Source organism: Homo sapiens, chromosome 2 (assembly GCF_000001405.40).
Source record: "Homo sapiens chromosome 2, GRCh38.p14 Primary Assembly".
Taxonomy (NCBI): Eukaryota; Metazoa; Chordata; class Mammalia; order Primates; family Hominidae; genus Homo; species Homo sapiens.
Genome location: NC_000002.12, coordinates 158,791,731 through 158,817,238, shown reverse-complemented (window position 1 = coordinate 158,817,238; position 25,508 = coordinate 158,791,731). Strand labels below are relative to the sequence as shown.

The following is a 25,508-nucleotide window of genomic DNA, read 5'->3' as shown; positions in this document are numbered from 1 at the left end:
AAGTGGCTCGCTTAAGGTTGCAGAACTAGTAAGGGTCAGTAGTAGAATCTCCGTCTCCTGAACATTTGTCCAATGTTCCAACCTGTACCCACCATCTGGTCTGTGTTACTGTCGCCTTGGAAAATGGTGGCTGACCTTGAACTTCTGTCCATTTTCCTTGCAACAGTTATCTTCCTGGGATATATCTGACAGCAGTCCCAGAGGACAGGAAACTGAGCTAAGCCAAAATGAGGTGGTAATAACTGTCTTACTGATTCATGCTGGCATTGCCTGAAGGTCTGATATTGTCTCTAGCAATTCTCTTATTCCTGAACAAGAGCCAAAAAATAGAGGGGAGGAGGTGGATGCATCCCCACATCCAAGTGGGCATTAGCCAAGTGCCTCTTGTTTCCAAGAATCAGAGACAGGCTCAGCACCAGGTCATACTCCAAGAGTTGTCAACCTGTTCAATGAAGGACTGAAGTGCTGGCCCCTTTCCCTGGGTAAAGAGAAGGGCTGGTAGTCCAATAGCATTCTCAACTGGAGGTGCAGAATGGTGAAGCAGTGAGTGACAGCCAACTTCTGTGAGGAAATGATATGGCTGTCCCCAGCTGTCACCTGAGAATGCCCTTGACTGTTTACATGTGAATTCATGAAGTGTGTGTGTGTGTGTGTGTGTGTGTGTGTGTGTGTGTGTGGTAGAGGGGAGAAGAGCTAGTGCATGCTTAGTTATGGCAATACTCTCTCTCCCACACCATCTCCAGTGAAAATAACTTCTGTAGCCCAACGACAATGCCCTGTTCTGGAGCTTTCTGGAAGGCCCTGAGCAACTCTCCCACTGAAGCTATAATTCTACCTTCTGTCCTTGATTGCTTGGCAGAAAATAATATGTTTGTAATCAATTTAATTTTTCATTTTCCCACACTGAGCCTTGAAAACAAACTATGTACTTATGTGGGAAACTGGAAAAGACATTTCGCCTCAAGTGAAAACTTGAACATCCTTAGACAAACAAACTGAGAAGAGTCACTCCTTATGTTTGCATTGGATATTGGCCTTTGCCAAGCCCAGTCTACTCCTCTCCAACCTCTGCCTTCAAGGAGAACTCAATGAGGGTAGAACAATTCAGGGTCAGCGTCAAGAAGAGTGCTTATGTAGGGAGGTGGATGGAACAGTCAGGTATTCTGGATGCTTCACTTAATCTACAGAATTACATATGCAAACATCAATGGGATTCTGACCTGGACCAAAAAGAGGCACAGGGATGTGTCAGATTTACAAGTTTGGATGCTTTATTACCTAAAGTCAAAGGGGAAGATACAAAAGCTGCTTAATTTACCAAGCAAGTGCAGCACGCCTATGGAAAGCTTTGGCCCTTTTTGCTAAGCTGTCAGATATTCGAGGCAGCTGGCCAGACGGCTGTGTTTTAAATCCAGGCTTAACATTTTCGAGGCTGCTGAATAATGTAGATCCTTTTCAGTGGAACAACCTTTTCCAGAGCAGGTGTGGGTTTTTGATGCGCCATGTGCACTGTTGCTGGAAATTTATAGTTGAGCTAAAGGTGAGAAGGGAAGAAAAAATAGGCATATTGGATCTTCTTGGTCATGAAATATTAAACTAGTAGAAAGTGATATCGTTGATCAAGGGAATCTCACAATTTTGTTTATTTATTTGATAATATCTCTTTTTTTCCATACTATTTCTAGCCCTAAACCCATGGGAGTATGTTTTAACCTGGGTCTTCTCTCATTTACTGTCCTTAATTTTAAAAAATTCCAATTGACATTTTAAAAAGTAGGAATGGTTAATTATGTCTGCATCAGTTCTCTGTGTTGTTAGCAATTATTCTGGCACTAGTATGCATCTATGAATCACTGAATTCTAAGAAGGCTACAGGGACATTGGAGAAGGTCCAGAGTGGGGACGAAAAACTCCTCAATTGTCAAAAGAAAGAAAGAACCTCTGAAAGAAGTTAAGAAGAGTTAGGGTTATTTATTAGGTCTAAGTGTGTACATTTGCTATTTTTTCAGGTCAAAAATGATGTGATATTGGCCATTCCATATGGTTCAATCTAAATAGCCCAGTGAAGAGAAGGCTGAGGGATGGCCTACTAGCCTCAGGGAACAAAAGTTCTGATTAGTCTTCTCCACAGAAGACATCTATGAGTAAATAAGCTTAAATAGGCTTATTAACACAGGCTGAGACTTTCTGACAATAAGAGACATTTCATATGCAACCCAGAGACCTTGTGGAATTTACATTAATGATAGCTTAAGATAGAAAGCATGCCCAATGCTGCTGACCACTTCAGACATGGTTTTCCTAGGAGGAGAATTTGGACACAGTGACCTTTTGGGTCCATGCTAGTTCTTGGTTTCCAAGCCCATCAATATGTAAAAGTACCTAAAGAAACCTCCCTTGGCCAGCAAGGAAGGAATGCCTCAGCTCAGTAGGAATTTAACTTATCACTATTGAACTTAGATGCCCTTGCCTTGGCACTCAAATTAAATAAAAGGGGAGATAAACTGTTCATGACCCTAGCCATCATACTGTTCATGGTTTGTTTGGGCTCTTCTAAGCCAGGGAAAACATATGTGCCTTACATCTCTTCTCAAATGTCTCTGCCCAGGCCCTAGGCACTCAGCAGTCCCTTTCATACGAAATGTGACTCCAAAAAGTCCTTTCTTCTTGGTTTTAAAAAATTAAACACACTGGAAGAAAATACACTGAAGTGTTAGCAATGGTTACCTCTGGGGGATAGAATTATGGGCAATGCCTCTCTTTTTCTTCACTTTATTTATCAGTACTAAATTTTTTTTCTTTTACAATGAGCAGGTACAAGTTATACAAAAATTAAGCCCAAGGATTATCTCTGCCAACATTCTAGCAGAATGGAAACAAAACACAATTGAGATATTGATCATAAATGTTGCATTAGAGTCTAAAAAAGACCTGATGACTTTTTTTTTTGTCAGGTCAGTTATCATCAGACCATATGACATGCATTTTACAATGTGTTAAGGGCAGAATGTTTTGTTTTGCTTTGGTTTTCTTTCAACATTAGATCCAGAAGGAAATTTAAGAGGTCACTGACTTCAGTAGTTTACTTCCAGACTGTGTGTCTTTAGTCTTAACTAAAATAGATGAATTATTTCAGGTTAGCTTTAAATCATATTTGAGAGATTGCAGGTAGGAAGAAAAATGTGACAAGTCAGTTAAGGTAAAAGTGGGTGAGAAGGCAAACAAACAAAAAAACTCTGATATAACAGAAATTTGGGCAATTAGCCAAGGTAAGGGAGGGTAAGAGGACAAGTTGGGACTGAAACAAAGAAAGCCACATGTTGATTGTTGTTCTTAAGTGTGAAAGAGATGATGGGTGGAGGTAGGAAAAGAAAAAGGAAAGGAGGCCGGGCTCGGTGGCCCACACCTGCAATCCCAGCACTTTGGGAGGCCAAGGCGGGCGGATCATGAGGTCAGGCGATCGAGACCATCCTGGCTAACACGGTGAAACCCCATCTCTACTAAAAATATGAAAAATTAGCCGGGCATGGTGGCGAGCGACTGTAGTCCCAGCTACTCTGGAGGCTGAGGCAGGAGAATGGCATGAACCCAGGAGGCGGAGGTTGCAGTGAGCCGAGATCGGGTCACTGCACTCCAGCCTGGGCGACAGAGCAAGACTCCATCTCAAAAAAAAAAAAAAAAGAAAAAGGAAAGGAGAGTAGTGTTAGAATAAGTGATAGAAGATATTTGCTGCTTAGTTGGGCACTAATTTGTTATTTGATCACCTCCAGGGTGATCTCCACAATTTAGAGGCTACATCGTTTGGGCATATAAAAAAATTGTGCTAAGATATACAAAACATAAAACTTGCCATTTTAACCATTTTAAAGTGTGTGTACAGTTAGTCCAGTGGTGCTAAATACATTCACATTATTGCACAGCTATCAACACCATCCACCTCCAGAACTTTTTCATCATCCTAAACTGAGACTCGGTACCAATTAAACAGTAATTCTCCATTCCCTCCTCCTCCAAGCCCCTGGCAACCACCATTCTACTTTCTATAACTATGAATCTGACTACTTTGGGTACCTCCCATAGGTAGAATCATTCAATATTTGTCCTTTTGTGTCTGGCTTATTTCACTTAGCATAATGTCTTCAAGGTCCATCCATGTTACTGTATGTGTTGAGATTTCTTTCTTTTGTAAGGTTAAATAATATTCCATTGTATATATATATACCACGTTTTTTCTATCCATTCATCCATTGATGAATACTTGGTTAGGATCTCTTCATCTTTTGGCTATTGTGAATGATGCAGCTATGAATATTGGTGTACAAATATCTGTTCTGAGTCCCTACTTTCAATTCTTCCAATATATGGGAAGATTATATTGGAAGAAGTGGAATTGCTGGATCATACAGCAATTCTCTCTCTTTCTCTTTGCTTTTTTTTTTTTTTTGAGCTGAGGTTTTGCTCTGTCACCCAGACTGGAGTGTAGGGGTGTGATCTCTGCTCCCTGCAACATTGAACTCCCGGGCTCAAGTGGTCCTCTTGCCTCAGCCTCCTGAGTAACTGGGACCTCAGGCATGTGCCACCATGCTGGTCTAATTTTTTATATTTTTAGTAGACACAAGGTCTTTCTATGTTGCCCAGGCTGGTCTCGAACTCCTGAGCTCAAGCAATTCTCCTGCCTTGGCCTCCCAAAGTGCTAGGATTCTAGTTATGAGCCACTGCGTCCAGCCTGATATGGCAATTCTATATTTATTTTTTGAGGAACCACTGTATTGTTTTCCACAGCAGCTGGATCATTTTACATTCCCACCAGCAATACAGAAGTGTTAAGGGTTACATTTTAACTGAGGCATTCAACCGAAGTTCTAAAAGCACTGCTCAACTACTTCTCAGAAGAGGAATGCCACAGATCAGAATATTTGGGAAACAAAGTCAGCCCCTGTGGCCCAATGGCCATCTGAACTGATCTGGAAAGTTTTAGAGAAGAAAAGAAAATCAACAGGATTGAGAAAAAAGTAGGAATAATTCTGGCAAAGATAATAGAGAAACTGCCCATAATTGTTAAGCTACAAGTGTACAGCTTTTGGGGTGCCCAGAGCAGGGTTTCATAGCAACTTGAAAATATGATAACAGGAAAGTCAAGTTCTCCTTCTCATCTCCCTACCTGCCTCAGTCAGGGGCATCCTGATGTAGGACTTGGGGCTATGGGTGGAGAGTCTATAAAGGATCTTCATCAGAATTGATGAAACTGTCGGTAAAATGGTCAGCTCCTAAATGTACTAATTCTTTGTGGTAGATTTTATATCAATGGAGATAGGAAAAGTTTATTTTCAACTCTAAACTACAAATAAGTAGAAACAGCTTTCCAGAGTATAAGCTACAGCCAGCTGTGTTTTAGTCTGACATTTTAACTTCGGGGAAGCTGTGGAATTTTCATCATTAGTCTTTGTAAAATGATAGTATTTGTAGAATAAAAGGTGTTTCTTGTCTCATTCATTAGGGTAAGAGAATCTAGGGTAACCCCACGAGAGAAAGAATTCAAAGCCAGTATATGTACAAGGATCCTGCCTTGCTGTGGCTCCATTACAGGGGCAACATATTGAACTTAGAAAGTGGATCAATAGAAACTTCCACATTGAGAATTTACCTTCATCTTGGGTAGCTGCGACCTCAGAACCTATATTTTTCATTTCAGAGAAAAAGCAAAAGAAGTGTGATAGAGGTCTTTATGACTAGAGAGCCCTGAAATTCTAGACGCAAGAAAATCAGCTGCAGGTTTTGTTTTAGAGCCTGAAGTTGGGTAGTATTAGCAGACTGGCAGCACTTTCATTCATCTTTCCAGGGTGTTAACTTCCAACTCGAATATTGGCACTTAAATTTCCACACCCTGTTAAGCAAACTGCTTAAAACAAAACATTCAGCTCTCGTCAATGAAATTCAAGGATACTCCTACAGTGATATTAATCTACAGAACAAGAGAAGCCTTTTAAAATTTGCGATGCCTTTTATAGTTTTCTCTCCCTCAGGATCCCATTTCACATACATCTCACTGGCTTTGGCAGTGGTGACCCAAAGTCTGGCAGCTTGAGAAAAGTAGCCCCAACTTTAACCAGGCTTCAGCATTTCCCCCTCCACACCATAACGCAACCCCATTATGGATGTTTTAACTGGATACTTTTATGTTCTGAGAAGTTTCACAACTATTGCCAAATTTATTGCCATGACTGTCCAGAGGATTAATATATTTGGCAGTATCATTCTTGTTCACTCCCTGCCTTAAAATAATTTTTTAAAAGTAAATGAACGAGCACAAATCCCAGAGGAGTTACGTGACATCTAAAAGGTCAAATAACTTCTAAGTAGTGGGTGGAACTTGATCTAAGACCAGGTCTCCCAGATTTCTAGCCTAAAGAGCTTTTGGGCTACACAGCCTGTTTTCTGCAGGAATACCATGTCTTGTGTTCTGCCACTGGGCAACATGAATTCTCTTATTGAGGGCTTCAAGAGGTGGGGAAGGCTGGCTGGAGAGTGAGGAGGAAAGCAGAAATGAGGTAGGGTGGGAGAAAGCAGGCTGTGTGGAGGGGAGAGGTGGGGAAATACTGTGGGGGTAGATTCTAGGCTGCTTCCCACTTTGATTTACACAATTCCAGCCCTTCGGGGACTATTTTTCAATCTCCAAAATCTTAAACCCCATGTTGATTTTGAAGTAGGAATTCAGAGATGAGTAGCATACAGAGAGAATTTTCCTGCCATGGTTGAATGGTTGATGAGTTCCTATGGAGAGGAGTTTCTTTAGAGACTTAATTTCTTAAAATAAGTATGAGAAATAACATGGGTTCTTGGGACTAGACATGAGTGTAACTGAGGGCATGAATGCATGTTAATAAATGCAGAGGATGTGACTCTCAATTCTGCCACTGCATTTATTCTGACCAGCTGTATATTGTTAGGTCTCTGTGGCAATACATACCGTGAGGAGAATCATTGTAGTGCAGGAAAAATGTATTAAAAGATACCTGTATGTCTGTATCTTTTATATATCGATTCATATATTTTTTGAATCACCCTGTATAGTTTATGCAGCATGGCTATTCTGTTTTAAAAATCAAAGTACTTACCTACAGTAAAATTTACGCTTTTTCATGTGCTGCTTTATGAGTCTTGACAAGTACATACAGTTTGTGACTACAACCACAATCAAGATGAGTAACCATCCCATCATTCCCCCAAATTTCCTCTGGTCATTTGTAATCAATCCTCCTACTCAGTCCCACACAACTGCTGATCTTGGTAGATCTAGTGGTCAGCAGGTGTCAACCCCAGGTTGACCTTTATTGTGAAATCTTACTAGGTTTCAGGTTGAATGATGGATTCGGTGAGATTTTTCTTAGCTATATGGAAACACATGGATTCTACCAATGTTCGTTTTTGAGATAGTCCCTTATGGTAATCTTGGAGCTTATTTTTGTTGCTGGTGCCTTACGCTTTACCTGGGATTCCAAGTGAAGGCAGGATGCAGGCCTGGGAACAGAAGATATCACTTGCTGAGGGCTAAGTATCCTAGCACTGCGCATGTATTATGTAACTTCATTTTACTCTCAACATGTCCCTATGAAGTAGATACTGGTACTCACACTCCCATTTACAGATAAGGAAAGAGGAGCACAAAAAAGTGAAGAAACCTGCCCCAGGACAAAAAGCTAGTAAGAGACACAGCCAACACAGGAACCCGGCAGCCTATGGCTGATGCCAGGACCTGCTCTCCTAACCAGTAACCCGTGCAATCTTAGCCACAGTCCTACTCCACTAAACACTGAGCTGAGCACAAAGGTATATTTTAAAAAATAGGTATAGTTTCTGTTAAAAATATTTCTTTTTTTTTTTGAGATGGAGTCTCGCTCTGTCACCCAGGCTGGAGTGCAGTGGCGTGATCTCGGCTCACTGCAACCTCCACCTCCCGGGTTCAAGCAATTCTCCTGCCTCAGCCTCCTGAGTAGCTGGGATTACAGGTACCTGCCACCACGCCAGGCTAATTTTTGTATTTTCAGTAGAGATGGAGTTTCACCATATTGGCCAGGCTGGTCTTGAACTCCTGACTTGTGATCCGCCCACATCAGCCTCGCAAAGTGCTGGGATTACAGGCGTGAGCCACCGTGCCTGGCCTGTTAAAAATATTTCTAACAGCACACCATCTCAATGTTCTCTTATGGTTTCCAAATACAACTGATTATTGTTGTTAAGTATTGTTACTTAGGGAAGAGATTATTCTTTTTACCTTTGAAATAAAGAGGTGATATGTCAAAGACATAAGCATATCACATGTCTATAAGAACAGAACGTAAACTCTGGCATCATACCTAATACACAGCATGACCAACCTTTATTGACCATTCCTTTTCAATACTTTATTTCGAGTTAACAAATATTTTAGGGGAACATGTCTATTCTATCCTATCCACTTACAACTGTGAGCATTCCCTTGCCCTAAGGAAGTGGTGTTTAGTGGGCGGGAGCAAGAGAATATAAGATGTGGGAGCAGGCAGCTTATGTTACAGGGTGTCATGCACCAGCCCTGCCTCTGAAGCCAGGAAGGCAGAGAGTCACTTATGACTTCACCCTAAATCGACCTGAGTGGAGAACCAAGGCTCCCATGTGAGAAGGCTCTGTAGCTATGGCTCATCATCAAGATCTTACCTTGTGCAATCTACCCTGTAACATCATGGACTTTAGATATACTGTCTTATTTCACTGTCATAAAAACCAATACTACGATCCCTGACAGAGTGCAAAGAGGTTACTCTGTGCTGAGACTCTTCCAAGACCTTCATGTATGTGAGCTCATTGTCTCCACGTAACAACCCTATAAGCTGTGCACTCTTCCTTACCTCCATTATACACACATGTAACTGAACCACAGGATAAATAACTTGCTCAAGGCCATATAGATGGTGATGAAGCCAGTGCCAAATGGGGTTCCAGGAGGCCAGCTGCACTAATCTTTTTCAAAGGCTGAGCTGGTGGTCCTCAGGCATCTGATTTTGGCTGCAACAGCAAGTCTTCCTTCTACAGAGGACACTTTGTCCAACGCCTTCCATAAACATGGCAGTAGCAGAAAGAGTGGCTCTATATTACCTTGACTGTAATGTACCTGCCTACTAGACATAGAATAAGGGCCCTCACTCAGCTCACCTACAAAATTTGAAAACAAACTTTTCAATCCGGAAAACCAAACCACTGTCTACTTGGTAAGAGTTTTCTGAGTTTCTAGAACTACCTAGAAGGAATTCAGGACATATGGCTGGGTGAGGTGGCTCACACCTGTAATCTCAGCACTTTGGGAGGTCGAGGTGGCCGGATGGCCTGAGGTCAGGAGTTCGAGATCAGCCTAGCCAACATGGTGAAATCCTGTCTCTATTAAAATACAAAATTAACTGGGGGTGGTGGTACATGCCTGTAATCCCAGCTACTCGGGAGGCTGAGGCAGGAGAACCACTTGAACCCGGGAGGTGGAGGTTGCAGTGAGCTGAGATCGCTCCATTGCTTTCCAGCCTGGGCAAAAAGAGCGAAACTCTGTCTCAAAGAAAAAAAGAAAAGAAGGAATTCAGAATATAGAAATAAAAATAGTCCTGGTCAACTACCTTTATAAGCAGACTTCACTGGGTAAACCCAGCTGGTACCCAGCCTTCCTCCAACCCTAGACCATGCAACCCTCTACCACCCACCCTCTCCTCAAATCAATATCTCCTTATAGGAACACAGGGGCAGGGAGGAAGGTCAAAAACCACTGAAGCCCCACTCCACAGGCTGCCTTTTATAAAAACATGCCAATGTTTCCAAGAAATATTTGGGATGGCAAAGTACCATTCTGCAAACTCACCATCATGATTCCCACTTTCTTATCTTATTTTTGAAATGATTTATTAAATGGACACTTTAGGAATTTGAGAGAAGCAGCTTTTCCCACTCAAATCACTTTGTGTTCCTCTGACAGAGAACAAATTCTTTCACAAGGACCTCAAACCTCTGGGTTGGAAAAAACCTCAGTGGTCATCCGCTCATTCACCCATGCAGCTGGATCCACTGGGCAGATTGACTTGGAGCGCTATGTGATTTGCCCACGGCTCACCTTCTCCAGTGCGTCATTCAGGGCATCCAGTGTCTGTATTTTGGCAACATTTGCAATGGCACTGTGAAGATGAAAAGAAACTTTGAACAGGACTTAAAAAATTTTCCCACTGAAAAGGCCACATGATTTATAGAGGGCTGTCTCTCCAGCCTTTTATGCTTTCACTTTGCTTAGGAACATCTAGAAGACACAGATTTTGCCTCTGTGTACCTATGTGCTACACACAACAAGCTTTGCAGGCCAAATTATTATTATTATTATTATTATTTTTTTTTTTCTGAGACACAGTTTCGCTCTTGTTGCCCAAGCTGGAGTGCAATGGTATGATCTCGGCTCACTGCAACCTCTGCCTCCTGGGTTCAAGCGATTCTTCTGCCTCAGCCTCCCAAGTAGCTGGGATTACAGGCATGCACCACCATGCCTGGTTAATTTTTTGTATTTTTAGTAGAAATGGGGTTTCACCATGTTAGCCAGGCTGGTCTTGAACTCCTGACCTCAGGTGATCCACTCGCCTCAGCCTCCCAAAGTACTGAGATTACAGGTGTGAGCCACTGTGCCTAGCCATTTTTTTTTTACCTTTTTATTGAAATATGATATACATACAGAAACATGCACATGCTATAAGCATATAGATTGAATAAAATTGAAACCACTAGTCAAACCAGCTGCCCCTAAGGATAACTGCTATCCTCATTTATAGCCCCAAAGACTAGTTTTGACTGTTTTTGTGCTTCGTAAAATGAACCGTCTACAGCTTGTACTCTTTTGCATCTGGCTTCTTTCTCTCAGGCCAAGTTATTTTGTAGGAGAGTTTCAATCAGGGCCAAATCTACAGTACAATGTCTTGAAGAAACTCTGCACTTGGCATATTTTTTTTTTTCTGGATGGTTTGTGTTGGTTTGTAGAAGCTATTAGGAAGTGGACATGGATTGATGATGTTTGGAAAATTCTGGTCTAGAGCATATTTTTAAAAAGCTATTCTCTAAGATGACATACAAAGGAGTGTTTGTCCATGAAAACAAGGCTTTCCTATCCTGTGCACATGCCCTGCTAGGAGATGTAAATAGCAGAGGGGGATATATGTGGAGCTAATGATATTTAAGCCTAGGGTCTCCTGCCACAGTGGCTCCTCCCAAGGCCCTGGGAGGGGCCCTACCCATTTCATATCGGTCATTTTTGGTTATTTTTCTTTTAAAATGGCCCTGAAAGTCCATAAGATTCAAGCTCCGCATAACCTGTTTCTGTCCCTGGTACTTAGGGCAAGAGCTATCTTTTGCTGTTTAAGTTCTGTAAAAGTCCAATTCCTGTCATTTAACGACTATTAGAAAACAATTGAGTTTTTAAAGAAGATTCCAATCACCATCTTATTACTCTCTAGCCAACTCCCCTGCCTGCATTGTTCAGTGGATGTTAGAATTAATAGTAAGTCCCATTTTTCTGAGATGCAGAGAAATGAATGACCTGTCCTTTGGCTGTCCACTAGTAAGTCATTTCCAAGATAAGACACTTTAGTTCCTGAGCCACTGGCTCAGGCAGGTTAACTAATGTCACAATAAGCAGGGCACATGCTTGACTCAGGTTTTAGATACAGAATGAATAGGTCTCAAAGTTAATCAGCTTGCAATTCAATCGCAGTCTGATATCATTTACAGAATGCATTCACTATTCTAGGAACTGTCCTAGATGCTGGGTCAGAAGAAAAATAACGTGTGACCTCCACTCTTGAGGACGCACAGCTTCCCTTTTGTCATGTGATGGTTAGTTTCTGATATCAGAAATAACAAATGACTTGCTGCTAATGGAGCGAATCAGTATTTCATTCTAAAGTGGAGGGAGGCAAATCCTCAAAAAATGTCTTCCCAGAAATTAGGAAGCAATCTTTAAAAGTGATTTAAAAATAATTTTATAGAAAAGAGTCAAAGAAGTGCCACAGTCTATTTCCATTCTCTTTCTGATATGGTTTAACTCTTATGGAGGTGCCTGGAGCATCCTCTACTCAGATCCTTTTGAATTACTCATCAACTGATCTGTGGAAACCATTTCAAAATTAATAGTCTCTGAAGCACTCCTCAGAAAGAAACAGTTCTGCGTGTTTCTTGTTTTTTGGAATGCTCTGGTTTTCCTTACCCAAGGCCTAGACTGGTTGGGCCATTTGCTTACCTGATCCAGCCCACAGCTCTCTGCTGAGTTCTGAGAATAGGGCAGGCGTCAATGTTATGGTGGAAGGAGCAGCGGGGAGGCTGCTCGGTACCTATGTGTTTCTGGCTATGCCAAATATAGTGGCCATTACTTTCTAAATAATTCAGTGATGGGTTTAAAACAAAAAAGACATTTATTTTTAATTCAGGACATTTACTTCAGCAGAAAGCATATTATGAAAACAGGGCCAGCCTAGGAACAATATTTTAAAGGCTGATCTGAAAATAGGATAAAAGGATGTGTGTCAGGTTTGGATGCATTTAGGCCTGTGCCTATTAAGTGCAAGGCCGCTGGGCTGGATGCAGACAGGAGGAGAATGGGTGGGGGTCGTGATGGGAGCCCTCTCAGAGGGATCCCTCCAGAGGGTAGCCACCTACCTTTCCCCACCCCTCACCCTAAGTCACCACGGATCACGCCCTCCCCCTCCTGCCCCCTTCTCTGGCTGCCTCCAAAGGCATAGGGAGCCTTGGTTTGTCCTAAAATAACTCCTGGAGGCAGAGTCACTCAAAACTCCTCAAGGTGATGGAGAAAAATTAAGAGTCCCTACCTTGTTTTCTCGAATCCTGTTTTTTTGGTATGTCTTTCCAAGGTGCCAATTTCTTGTTTTTTGGAAATTCTCATTCCTCCAGCTTTTACTACAAACAGATAAAAATCAGCATGGAAGTTAGAACAGTGAGAGAAGGCTTGCTTTGTTATTAAAGGTATGACTTTAGATTTGAAAATAATTTTTGAACTTATTTTTTAAAGATCTAAACGTTTGTATAAAACAACACAATAAAAAATATATATATTTTATTGGCAAACCAGGTGTGGGTGGAGGAAGGGCTGAGAGCTACTTGTTTATGCTCAGAGAAGTGGAACCAAGACTGAAAAAGCAGAGGTTACACCTTAGATTTGGGGAGGAGAATAACAACATACTCCCTTAGGCATTTCACTGAAAAACATTTTTTCTTATTATCAAACCAATTACATTCCCCACAATAGCAACCGACAATTACAACGTGACCCTCTGTTTTCCCACCAGATTAAAGTTGTGCGTGGCTTGCATTTTTTTTTCCAACCAAAGCTTTCAAAAGCCAGATTCTGAGAGATGAGCCAAAAGTCAGGGCACACAGTGATAAAAGGCATTTAATTCAACAGAGATGGTTCTGATTCTACCAGATACCCACCTTCCATCCAGACCCCAAAACTCCGGTGTTGGCCAAGCTCAGATGTTCTAATGAGTAATTAAACTGCATTAATAATCCTGCCATTCAAGTGATCAATTAGTGTTAATTAGGCTACAGATGACCTAACAGCAATTCAAGTGTTTAACAATGTCAGATGAAATCAACTTTTGAAAAGGAACAACCCATTTCAAGATAGCAAGTCAAAGCAAATGCTTTTTTTCTGTTCCCAGGAAATTTGCACATCTAAAATCTGACAAGCTCAAATGAGAAAAAGCTAAATGGACATTGATTTGTTTGAGCCTGTTAATTCTTTTTATGAAAATGCCAGATTGGCGATTTTCTAAAACTGTGGTCCAATAAAGTGAAAAATAAAGAAAATGTATTCTATTTTTCTGTGCCCTTGTCAACTGACTTCATCATTGTTCTTTACAATTATTACTTAATTTATTGTCTTGGTTATCTTATCTGCATAAGGCCCAAAATTCAAAAGCCATAAAAAGGTCTGCAGTCTCCCTCCTACAATTATTTTCCAACTTCCTAGATTATCTCCCAAGATACTGCTAATGTTATAAGCTTCCTGTGTCTTCATCCACAGTTATTCTACACATACACTCAGGTTTTATTTTTTATAAAATGGTAGCCTAAGGTACACATTGCTCTACATCTTGTTTATTTTCTTCACTTAATCACATATTTTAGAGAAAGTTCCAAATCTATATTTACATCTACATCTATATCTCTATATATCATCTGTGTGTTTTTCTTTTTAACATCTGCTTTAACATTTTATTGTATGAACATCCTGTGTTTACTTAACCAGTTCCCTAATGTTGGACATTTCATGTGTTTCTAATCTACTGCTATCACAAACAATGCTGCAATGAATATCCTTTTGCTACCAGAAAGAGGTGTCTTGATCCAGAATCCAAAAAAAGGTTCTTGGATCTTGCACAGGAAGAAATTCAAGGCGAGGCACAGAGCTCAGTGAAATAAGCAAGTTTATTAGAAACAATTCCATTACAGAGTAGGGTGTCCTCAGAAAGTGAGTGCACAAACACACTGTTTTTCAGTTTTTCTTATATAGGGGTCTTGTCTATGTAAAGACTAAACTGTGACTACATGCAGGTGAGCAGACAACATGACAAGATTTATTATTCTACTGATGTAAAGAAAACCATCCTTGACGATTTGGTGTGTGAGTACATCAAAGCATAACTGTTACTATCTTGAAAGCATTATCATTATGGGTATTGGCCCATCTGGACTTTCTGTGGTTCTAAGAGTTTGTTCTTGCAGGCATTACCAAGCTGCTTCCTCAGCTGTAAACATCTTAGCATCATGGGGTTGTGACTAGCAAGGAATGTGCCTCGCTCATTCTAAGATGGAGGTGATTTTCAAATGATGTCACTCTGGCTCTTTTAGGTTCTTGCTCTCCTAACAGTTTTAGATACATAATTTTGCACAAATACAAGCATACCTGTTGGGGAAATTCCTAAAAGTGATCTTGTTAGTTCTTAAGAGTATGCGTGTTTGGAATTTTGTTAAATCTTGCCAAATTGCCCTTAGCAGAGGTTGCACCAGTTTAGAATCTCACCAGCCATGATGACAGTTGTTGTTCCTCCATACCCCTGTTAACAACGCGAGCTACAAAGTGTTTGGTTTTGTCAGCCAGTAAGTTACAAAATAGATAAAGGTATATCACTGTTTTAATTCTCATTTCTCATGTTTTATTAAAGGTTGAGCTTGGTTCTGTGTTTTAGAAGCCATTTGCATTTCCTTTTCTGTAAGCTGTTCAAATCTTTTGTCCTTTTCAATTGGATTGCTAGTCTTTTTCCTATCTTTTTCTTACCGATTTATAGGAGCTATTTTTCCATGAGATACATTGCAAATATAAAATATTATATTGTACCAGTTACTGCTTTTTGACTTTATTGATAATGTTTTTGCCAGTCAGAAATTTGCTGTTTTTATATGACCTTGTCAATCTCTTATGGGTTTTGTATCACTAAGATCTGTTGTTTTACTATTCAACCATTCCTGCATTCATGGAATAAACTCCATTTGGTCATTTGAATTACCAAGTTTAAAAAATATTGATTTTTGTATATAAGCCTCAGAAAATGCTATCTTTATACATTATCTGCTTTAAATTATATATATATATGCACATTCTTTATATACATAAATTATTTATACACACGCATATGGCATACAAAGTAATCTGCAACAAAAATGAAATTATAGGGAAACATTTCTGAATAGCCATGGAATACAGGTGAAATAAATCAAGGGATGGGCTTTTTCCCAAAGAATGTTTGAGGCGTGTGTGCCTCTGTATGGGAGATGGTGACTGCTCATAGCACTGTTGCTTAATGCTAAGAAGAATCAGATAAGAGCTCTGGGGCCTTTGATACACCTCCCAACAGTATTTTTCATTCTCCTTATGACAAGTGCCTTTCATATATAGTGTGCTGTAATTATTTTCTTGTTAGTGTTCCTTTTGCTTTCCCTGATGCTATTATTCCTACACATTTTCTTCTACCTGGATTAATTATTATTACCAACTATAGAAGCAAAATTGTTTTAGTTAAAGATGAGAAGAACTGGCTGGGCGCGATGGCTCACACCTGTAATCCCAGCACTTTGGGAGGCCGAGGCAGGTGGATCACCTGAGGTCAGGAGTTCAAGACCAGCCTGACCAACAGGGCGAAATCCCATCTCTACTAAAAATACAAAAATTAGCTGGGTGTGGTGGCGATTGCCGGTAGTCCCAGCCACTATTTGGGAGGCTGAGACAGGAGAATTGCTTGAACCTGGGAGGCAGAGGTTGCAGGGAGCTGAGATTGCACCACTGCTCTCCAGCCTGGGTGACAGAGTGAGATTCTGTCTAAAAAAAAGAAAAGAAGATCTTTGGAATGCTGAGTTCTGTACCACTCATTTGGAAGGACATTGATAATCTGGGAATCTTCAGAGGAGAGTGACCAGAGTGAAGGCAGGCATGCTACATGAGGAACTAGGGAATCTAGTAAGATAACTCCTGAAGAAGCAAAGCGAGAGAACTTAGGGAGCCATCTTCAAAGATCTGAAGGGCTGTCATGAGGGCAGAGGAGCAGTTTACTGGTGAGGAAATGTTATGTAGGGTTGGACAACTCTATTCCTCCTAAGCTCTGTGACTGTGAGTAGGACACTTAAAACTGCTCTCAGACTGTCTCCACGTCCTTCAATGGGGAATAATACTGACTATTGCTGTCAGAAAATAGAGGTGACATAAGAACCTGGTGCATGGTAGGCACTTACTAATTACTAATTATTATTTATATTTATTTTATGTGGTTCCAGAGGTGAGAACGAAGACCAAAGACTAAGAGTTCTAGAAAGGTACAGTCTGGCTACTTGTAACAGCTTGTCTTATTCAACATGATATAGATTGCCTAATACAATAACGAGTTTTTTGTACCTCAGTGTATTAAAGTAAAGGAAAGAAGTTCTTTTGTCATGAATACCTTAGGAGAACTTTGGGGAATTCAGTGGAAGTTGAACTAGATTATGTTTATTATAAAGTCCTTATTATAATTTCAACTCTTTTCATCTACCTCTCAAAAAAATCCATCACTTCTTTCTCTTTGGAAAGAGCATAAGGCATTTAACAAAGAAATAAATGCCAAATTTTTTTTTTTTTTTTTTTGAGATGGAGTCTCGCTCTGTCGCCAGGCTGGAGTGCCATGGAGCGATCTCGGCTCACTGCAACCTCTGCCTCCCGAGTTCAAGTGATTCTCCTGCCTCAGCCTCCCGAGTAGCTGGGACTACAGGTGCCCGCCACCACACCCAGCTAAACCATAAACATGGGAATTCCTCATCCTTAGGAACAATAAGATAGACATTTTAGGGGGAAGAAGAAAAAGTCCTCCCCATAAAGATTCCTACTTCCATCCAGCAGTCTTTAAATCGTCTCTGTCATAGGGCTGTAGGCTCTAACTCAGCAATTTCGGAAGCATAAGGGAAACACACATTGGATTTCCAGAACAGAGTTCTTGTACCAAACTTGTTCTGGTAGCTGATCTTACTCAGTCATCTATGTACAGTAGAAAGAAGCGGAAGATAATATCCCTAGACTACAGATGGATGCACTGATATAGATTTGGGCTGTCACTACACTGGGGTGACTGAACCAGGTGGGGTCAGTTTGTGGGAGGGTTATCTTAAAATCTCTGCTGGGAACACTGATCACAATGATCTCCTGGGGTCTAGACAAGCCATTATTTACAATGCAACACAATCAGGTTCTTGCTCATTTTGCTTATACTAGATACCTCTGACTCAAGAGACCTTTTCAAAGTTTCACTGTATCCAAATCGATCCATTTAAGTTTGTAATCCTTTACGTAACTCCATGTTTGGGACTATCCTGCTTTTTGAACCTTTGCAGAAAGATCAATTGGAATTGGGCAAAGTAAAATATGAACTGATTTAACATTTTAACAGGATGTTGAGTACAAATATGTAAATTAAGACTTTCAGTCCTTTCAATAATGAAGATGAACTAGAGATAGACAATGTAAAAAAGGGAGATGCTCTTTTAGATAATTTCACTAGAAAACCTAAATTTAAGCGGGGAAAATGAAGCTTTGCTTTCCCATCTCTGCATGAGAATTATACTCTTGTGACTGCTTTTGTAGTTTATAAATTTTTAAAAATACATCAGTTAGTTTAGAATTCTAAATAATAATTTTCCAGCTAAGATTTTCCAATCTTTTTCACAGTTTTTGGTAGAGAGTAGTGAAGATAAACATAAGCCTGCAAAAAAATTAGGCTTTTTCCTTCACAAATCCATGGACAATGTATGTGAAAAAGCTGAAAGGCACAAAGGTTTGTGCAAACTCTGCCTTGTGAATGAGAACATCTATTTGAAGGTTTAATGAAAAGTTTAGATGTTTGCAAAATGCTCACTTTGCATTCACAGTTAATTTATCAGGAAATTTTAGGCTGCCAATCAAGACCCCCAAAACCCTCATCAAGAGAAGGTTGTGGAGCAAACAGAAAAGGCTTTAGAGTAAGAGGGCTTTGACATGAGGTCAGCTTCATTTTCCAATTCCAGCTCCACTTCCCACTAGCTGTGTGGCTTTCGGCAAGTCCCTCAATCTCACTGAGTCTCCGTTCACTCTTCCGTGAAACATCACCCATCTGCAGGGCTGTTGCCACGTCTAGAAGTCTCTTTGCTGTGCCAGGTGCAGTCAGCATTGAGCGAATGGCAGCTGTTCTTGCAGTCCTCAAATCCCTGTCCCCTGGGGCAGGAGGAGGTGAATCTCACAGCCTCTCTCTTCTAACTTCATGGTTCTGTCCTGTTCCAATGCCCCCAAGTTGACTTGAGCAGATGGAATTGAGAGATTCAAGCCTTTGGAGTGTGTGAGGGTTTTCAAATGACCGTGGTCCATATGCAGTTTATGGTTGTCCCCCATTTTCTGCATTAGTTTTACAATTGGTCATACTCCCCCTCCAACTTCCTTCTCTCTTTAATGAGTCAGAAAACATATTCTCTTTAGGGATTCAGTGGCAACACCTCTAATGGCTCTGATTCATTTGGCTTAGACCCAATTAAAAAGTGCAGGAAATATAGAAAAAGTCATGAACCACTGCTCTTCTTTCTATTCATCATATATCTGGCTTCCTGGGGTCAACTTCTACTCACACATTTTTGGTGCTGCTGTTCATATAATGGGGTTCTTCTGAAAGTGAGGGTGAGACAAATCAAAAAAGCAGAAAATTCCAAGTTCTTCTTACTGGAGCCCAGGCCACCTTGTGTTTTATGTAGTCTCATTTCACAGCATAAATGTATAACTAGGGCTATCAGAGATGCAATATATTATATTAATATACATTAAAGTGAAACCATTGACTGCTCCATAGATAGGTAGGAAAGAGATGCAGCAGGCTGACTTCTAAGTGATTTTTTTTTTTTTCAGACGGGGTCTCACTCTTGTTGCCCAGGCTGGAGTGCAGTGGCGTGATCTCTGCTCACCGCAATCTCTGCCTCCTGGGTTCAAGCGATTCTTCTGCCTCAGCCTCCCAAGTAGCTGGGATTACAGGCACATGCCCCACGCCCGGCTAATTTTTGTATTTTTAATAGAGATGGAGTTTCACCATGTTGGCCAGGCTGGTCTTGAACTCCTGACCTCAGGTGATCCACCCACCTCGGCCTCCCAAAGTGCTGGGATTACAGGCGTGAGCTACTGTACCCAGCTGAGTGATTTCATTTTTAACTGTGATGGGATAGGCACATATTTTTTCCATTGCAGTTTCTTTCTGTTCCAACTACTGCAGTAGTGTCTAATGCCGCTCCAGCATCAGGATGTCTTGAAATTGGGGAGGATAATTTCTTTTGATAGTGATGTGTTCTACCGGGCCTGCATTTTAAGGGGGCTAACATTCAGGTGCCAGATACTTTACAGAGGTGATCTCTTTTAATCATTACAACAAACTTACTAGATAGATGTTATTTATTGCATCCTGTTTCAGAGATGAGGAAACTCAGGCTCGAAGATGTGAAATGAAGTTGAGGTTCAAACCCAGGTCTGTCTGATTCCAAAGGCTATGTATGTCCCACCCTCCCCACCGAATCGTATCTTCTTCCCACTTTTAGGGATCTGTATTTTGCTTATAAAAATCAAGTGAAAAATTAACAGAATTTTGGCACTTGTTTTTGTTCCATAAATAAAATTTTGCACCACCACAAACAGATTCAGACTTAAAATTAGTGGCAAGACAGGCTGAAGGATGACACTTCTTTGTTCCCTTGTGCTCAGTGGGGAGGCAAAAGTCTGCCTTCATCTCCATTCTAATTATCCAAAACCTCTTATCTGTAGTGTCACAGTTCATAATAATTAATTGTCATGCCAGAGGCATTGTGACATGCTTGATGGAGTCATGGTGTGCTATGTACACAGAGTAATTAGCAATCATTAGTGGTGGGGACAGAAAGTTCCCGGTGGTTTCATTCGAACTTTCATTTGGTTAAGTTTATGTCTGTGTTCTTTGTGCATAAATGTAGTTTAGCAAAACAGGTTTCATCTTAGCCATTTTATGAAGGGTTGGAGTGGAAACAACATAATGAGAATGGAGTTCTTTTTTCTTTTGTCTTTGTCTATGTAAGGAGCCTGTCTTCCAATGATTTGCATATATACTTCCTGACTATTAGCTAGCATAATTAACTTTAAATATAGGTAATGTTAAATATTGCTAAATTTGATTACAAATATAAAACATCAGTAATCTACCAGAGGAGATCAGACCAAGATGTCTAGAGCTGGAAACTCAGAATGAGTAGTAAAATCTGGACTCTTTTTGGCCAGGCTACCCGCCGGAAAGCCACCAAAACAATGTTACATTTTGACTCTCTGTGAAGACAATACCCGCCATCACCCTCTGCAGCAAAGATTATTGAAATAACCTTGGCCTAGAGGTGCCAGAGAATTAGACAGTAAATATGTTTTTGTAAATGGAGAAAGGCAAGAACAAAGCAGTCAAGCTTTTGAGTTCTTTCTTCAGTAAAAAAGAAGGAAGGCAGTTGGAAGAATATAAAACTGACTAAAAATAGGCCTGTACACCTCAGCCAATCTATATGAACATATGGTTAAGTACAATAAAACTAATTTCCATATTCCAGAGAGTCAATATAGATAGCATAAATTAAAAAAAAAGACAACTATGGATGCTTTGCAAACACCTTGACAGCTACTTTTTCCAGTCAGCCTCCTCAAGTCCTGTGTCTTTATTTAAAAGTACTTCTCAGCTTGTTGACAGGTAAATACATCCCCAAAGCCTGAGGAGGGAGAAAGAAATGTGATTGTTGTCCTCTGTGCAGAAGCTGCTTTGCCTGGGTAGGAAGTCACATGATGCACAGGCATCTTGGGGAGACTGAGTCTTACAGCTGGAACCTCTAAAGAGAAAGGTTTCCATGGTAGCAAATCATCTTCCTGGTGTAGATGTGTCACTGCTAATCTACAGCCAGGGCCCCGTGAAAGGAATGCTGCCTCGAGGGAGGAAAGGTGCAACCTCTCTACCTATGCCTTTCCACAAGCCCCAAATCCATACACTGCCGTAGGTAATTAGGTTTTAACTCACTGGGGGTCTGACAAATCCCCGGGTGGATTTACATACAAGCTAAGAAGGATCAAAGACATAAGAGGAAGTCAGGCTGCATGGAGTTAAAGTCATACTGGGTAGACAGAGAAGCTTCCGTCTGTCGGGGTGCTCCATGGAAGGCATTGGTGGAAGAGGGGAGCAGCAACAGCCTGCAGGACTGAGGGCAGGTGGCAGCCTACCTGCAGGAGGATGTCCCCCTTTCCGAGGGGAGAGCAGGTCTTGCACTTCATTTGCCATAGCGTGTGCCAGTGCCAGTGCCAGTGCTGGTGCTCTGGAGGCTGAATGCCAGCTGTGGCTGCCCCACCACCGCACCGGCTTTATAAAGGCAGGGGGCAGGGCCCCTTAAGGGCATTGCTGAGCAGCAACAGGGCTTGTCATCCAGCTCTCTGGGAAACCTGCATCTCCTTGGCAAGTTTTCTCTTAGAAGAAGACTTTCTTCTTCCCTTCATCTGGGAAGGCAAGGTAGATGTCTGCAGGAGACAGGATATTCTTTTCTTTCTTTTTTTTCCACAGGAGGAAAGGGAGAGGATGGAGTTCAGTGGAATTCTTTTTCTCTCCAACCGTTGATCCCTCAAGTGTGTATAGTGCACCTGCAATGTAACAGGCTTTTGTCATATTCTGGCATGACAAGGGGGCCAAGACAAGCTCTTTGCTTCAGGACATCTGTAGTCTTTCTAAAGAGACAGGTATAGAGCAAAGTCCTGTGCCTCTGTCCCAGTTTTTGCAATTATAAGCATTTATACTAAGAAAATAATTGGAAATGTATACAGAGATTTCTGCGCAAGGATGGGAATCATATGCTTCTTTTCTTTTTAAAATATTGATGGGAATCAAGATAAACATCTCCAAATACAGAGGGATAGTTAAGATGAATCAAGAAATCACTGTGAGAGTATACCTTACAATCATGTTTTCAAATAATATTTAATGATGTAGAAATATTAACGATAAGATAGTGAAAAAGTAGACAAGAAACCAATCAATGCCAATTTTGCTAAAAAGGAAAAATACAACTTTAAGCTTAGCCATTATTGTAATTCCAGCGCCAATAAAAGTTTAGCATGTGGCAGATATTTATAAAAATTTCTTTGTTCTTCAGTACAGTTAAAAAACAACTTGAAGAGCAGTTGTCTGCTCTTCGAAAAACCCTGTTAAGAAAATAAAAACAAGCTACAAACTGGGAGAAAATATCTGTAAAATGCATTTCTGATGAAGTACCGACATTTAGAATGTATAAAGAATTCTTACAACTCAATAATAAGAAAGCAGACAACCCAATTAAAAATGGGCAAAAGATTCAAATAAAACATTACAAAGTAAGGATATTGACAACACATAATCACACAAAAAGATGCTCGACATCATTAGTCATTAGGGAAATGCAAATTAAAGCCACAATAAAATACCACTACATATGTATTAGGATGGCTCAAGACAAGAAAAAAAAGGAAAATACAAAATGCTGGTGAAGACGCAGAGCAACTGAAACTCTCATACATTGCTGGGGGAAACGCAAAAAAGCAAAGGTGTTCTGGAAGTCAGTTTGACAGTTTCTTATAAAATTCAACATACACTTACTATATATGACTAACAATCCAATTGCTAGGAATTCTCCCAAGAGTGATGAAAACATATGTACACACAAAACCCTATGTGCAAATGTTTATAACAGCTCTATCAGGATTGCCAAAAGTTAGAAACAACTCCGAAGTTCAACTGTAGAATGGGTAAACAGATTGTGGTGTATCTATATCATAGAATATAACTCAGCAATAAAAAGGGAAACATGGATGAATCTCAAAAGCAACACGTTAAATGGAAGAACCCAGACTAAAAAAAGCTACTTCCTATATAATTCCATGTACATGACATTCTTGAACAGTTGAAACCCTAGGAACAGAAATTGGATCAGTGATTGCTGGAGAGCGGTTGGGGAGAGTGGCTTAATTACAAAGGTGAGGAGGTGACTTTTTGAGGGTGATGGAAATAATTTGTATCTTGATTGTAGTGGTTGTTACATTCATCATACGTCATACACACATCACCTTAAAAGGGTGAATTTTACCATATGCAAAATATGCCTCAACAAATGACAAAAAATCTGTTTGTAAATAAATGAATGTAAATACTCCAAAATGTTAAGAGTGGCATTCTGTAGGTGGGAGTATTACATGTGGATTTTTAAATCTTCTTTCAGTATTCTGTATTACTTTTTAAATAAATAAAAACTAATAAAAGTTTTTTTTGAGGGAAAAGTATGGTAAAGTGTTGCGACAAAGGTTGGCACATTTTTGGGAGCAAAGAGGAAACATTCATATCATCTAGCAGTTATTTTGTGAGTGGCCTTTCCTGCAGGGCCCTGGACTAGGAGCTGGGGTTCAGAGATGAGAAAATCTCATTCTTGCTTTCAGCGATCTCACATTCTCATGCGGATATGGACATGATGAGAAGGTTAACAGAATTCCTTCTATGATTGACAAGGTTTATTGTGGCATTATTCCTCAGAAATTTCTGAGAAGATGGAAATGTTTGTATCTGCTCTGACCAGTGTTGTAGCCACAAGCCACACATTCATTTGAGCACTTGAAATGTGGCTGGTGCAACTGAAAAATTGAATTTTTAATTTATTTAAAATTAAATAGTTTTAATTAATAGAAATAGGAATAGCTACATGTGGCATGTGACTCTGGTATTGGACAGCATAGGTAGGTAGCATAAAGCCTAGATGTGTGACTGTTTGGTACCAGATTTTATTGGTTATCTTCTATATCTATAAGCTGCGAAAGTGCAAAAGGCAAGGAGGAAATCAAAGGGCAACCACCCCTTAGGAGAGCCTGCACCTAGGACAGCCTAAGTGATGTGGAGGAATGAGTGGTTGGACCAGAATATAATGCATGCCCAAGCAGAGAAGGCTTCTTTGGGGCAAATACTCGATTTATCCATGAAGTAATGTTAAACAGGATTTCTTTTCACATCATTCGCATGTAAAGCCTTCAGTTCACAGATGTACATTGTGACCCTCCCCAGGGGGATTTAGTAGGCAGCATCCGCAGAGCATTTTTCATCATGAAAACGTTCGTTCTCATGGCCCTAAAAAAAACCCTTAGAGGGCCAGGATTGGTGGTGCACGCCTGTAATCCCAGCACTTTGGGCAGCTGAGGCCAGCCTATTGCTTGAGCCCAGAAGTTAAGAGACCAGCCTCCTGGGCAACATGGAGAAACCCCATCTCTAAAAAAAATATAATACAAAAATTAGCCAGGAGTGGTGGCACACGCTTCTGGTCCCAGCTACTTGGGAGGCTGGGGTGGGAGGATTGCTTGAGCCCAGGAGGTCAAGGCTGCAGTGAGCCAAGATCATGCCTCTGCATTCCAGCCTGGGCGATAGACTGAGAGCCTGTCTCAAAAACAGAAACCAACCAACAAAAACCCCCTAGAATTTGTGTTCTTGGCTTGGTGGGGTGTTGTGCACCTGGAGTCCCAGCTACTTGGGGAAGCTGAGTTGGGAGTATTGCTTGAGCCCAGGAATTCAACGGCAACATAGCAAGGCCTATCTCAAAATAAATAAATAAGAAAGAAAGAGAGAAAGGAAGGAAGGAAGGAAGAGAGAGAGAGAGAGAGAGAGAGAAAGAAAGAAAGAAAGAAAGAAAGAGAGAAAGAAAGAAAGAGAGAAAGAAAGAAAGAGAGAAAGAAAGAAAGAAAGAAAGAAAGAAAGAAAGAAAGAAAGAAAGAAAGAAAGAAAAAGAAAGAAAGAAAGAAGGAAAGAAAGAAGGGAGGAAAGAATTTGTGCTCTTGAAATCCAAGTTGGAAAATTCTGATCTAAGGGAACGGGAGTAGTGGTATCCACAGGGTGATGGTAAAAGGTAAGTGGCAAAAGCAAAAA

The 25,508-nt window shown here is 40.6% G+C and overlaps 1 protein-coding gene across 1 annotated transcript, besides 2 other annotated features; it reads right to left on the bottom strand.

The window, feature by feature from the left end:
* Positions 1–1,248: 1,248 nt before the first annotated feature.
* DAPL1 (death associated protein like 1) lies at positions 1,249–21,922 on the bottom strand. The gene is made up of 4 exons (NM_001017920.3): positions 21,809–21,922; positions 12,870–12,957; positions 10,124–10,184; positions 1,249–1,534 (listed from the first exon to the last, which is right to left on the bottom strand). The coding sequence occupies exons 1-4, from the start codon at positions 21,864–21,866 to the stop codon at positions 1,418–1,420; spliced, it is 324 nt and encodes a 107-aa protein (NP_001017920.2). The 5' UTR covers positions 21,867–21,922; the 3' UTR covers positions 1,249–1,417.
* Positions 10,051–10,220: an enhancer, noted in NCBI's record as "experimental_53422 CRE fragment used in MPRA reporter constructs". NCBI's record gives its function as "activates a minimal promoter by MPRAs in K562 erythroleukemia cells, with activity observed for both the introgressed and non-introgressed 2:159663616 variant alleles {active_cell/tissue: K562}" and the evidence as "EXISTENCE:reporter gene assay evidence [ECO:0000049][PMID:34662402]".
* Positions 24,327–24,496: an enhancer, noted in NCBI's record as "experimental_53410 CRE fragment used in MPRA reporter constructs". NCBI's record gives its function as "activates a minimal promoter by MPRAs in K562 erythroleukemia cells, with activity observed for both the introgressed and non-introgressed 2:159649340 variant alleles {active_cell/tissue: K562}" and the evidence as "EXISTENCE:reporter gene assay evidence [ECO:0000049][PMID:34662402]".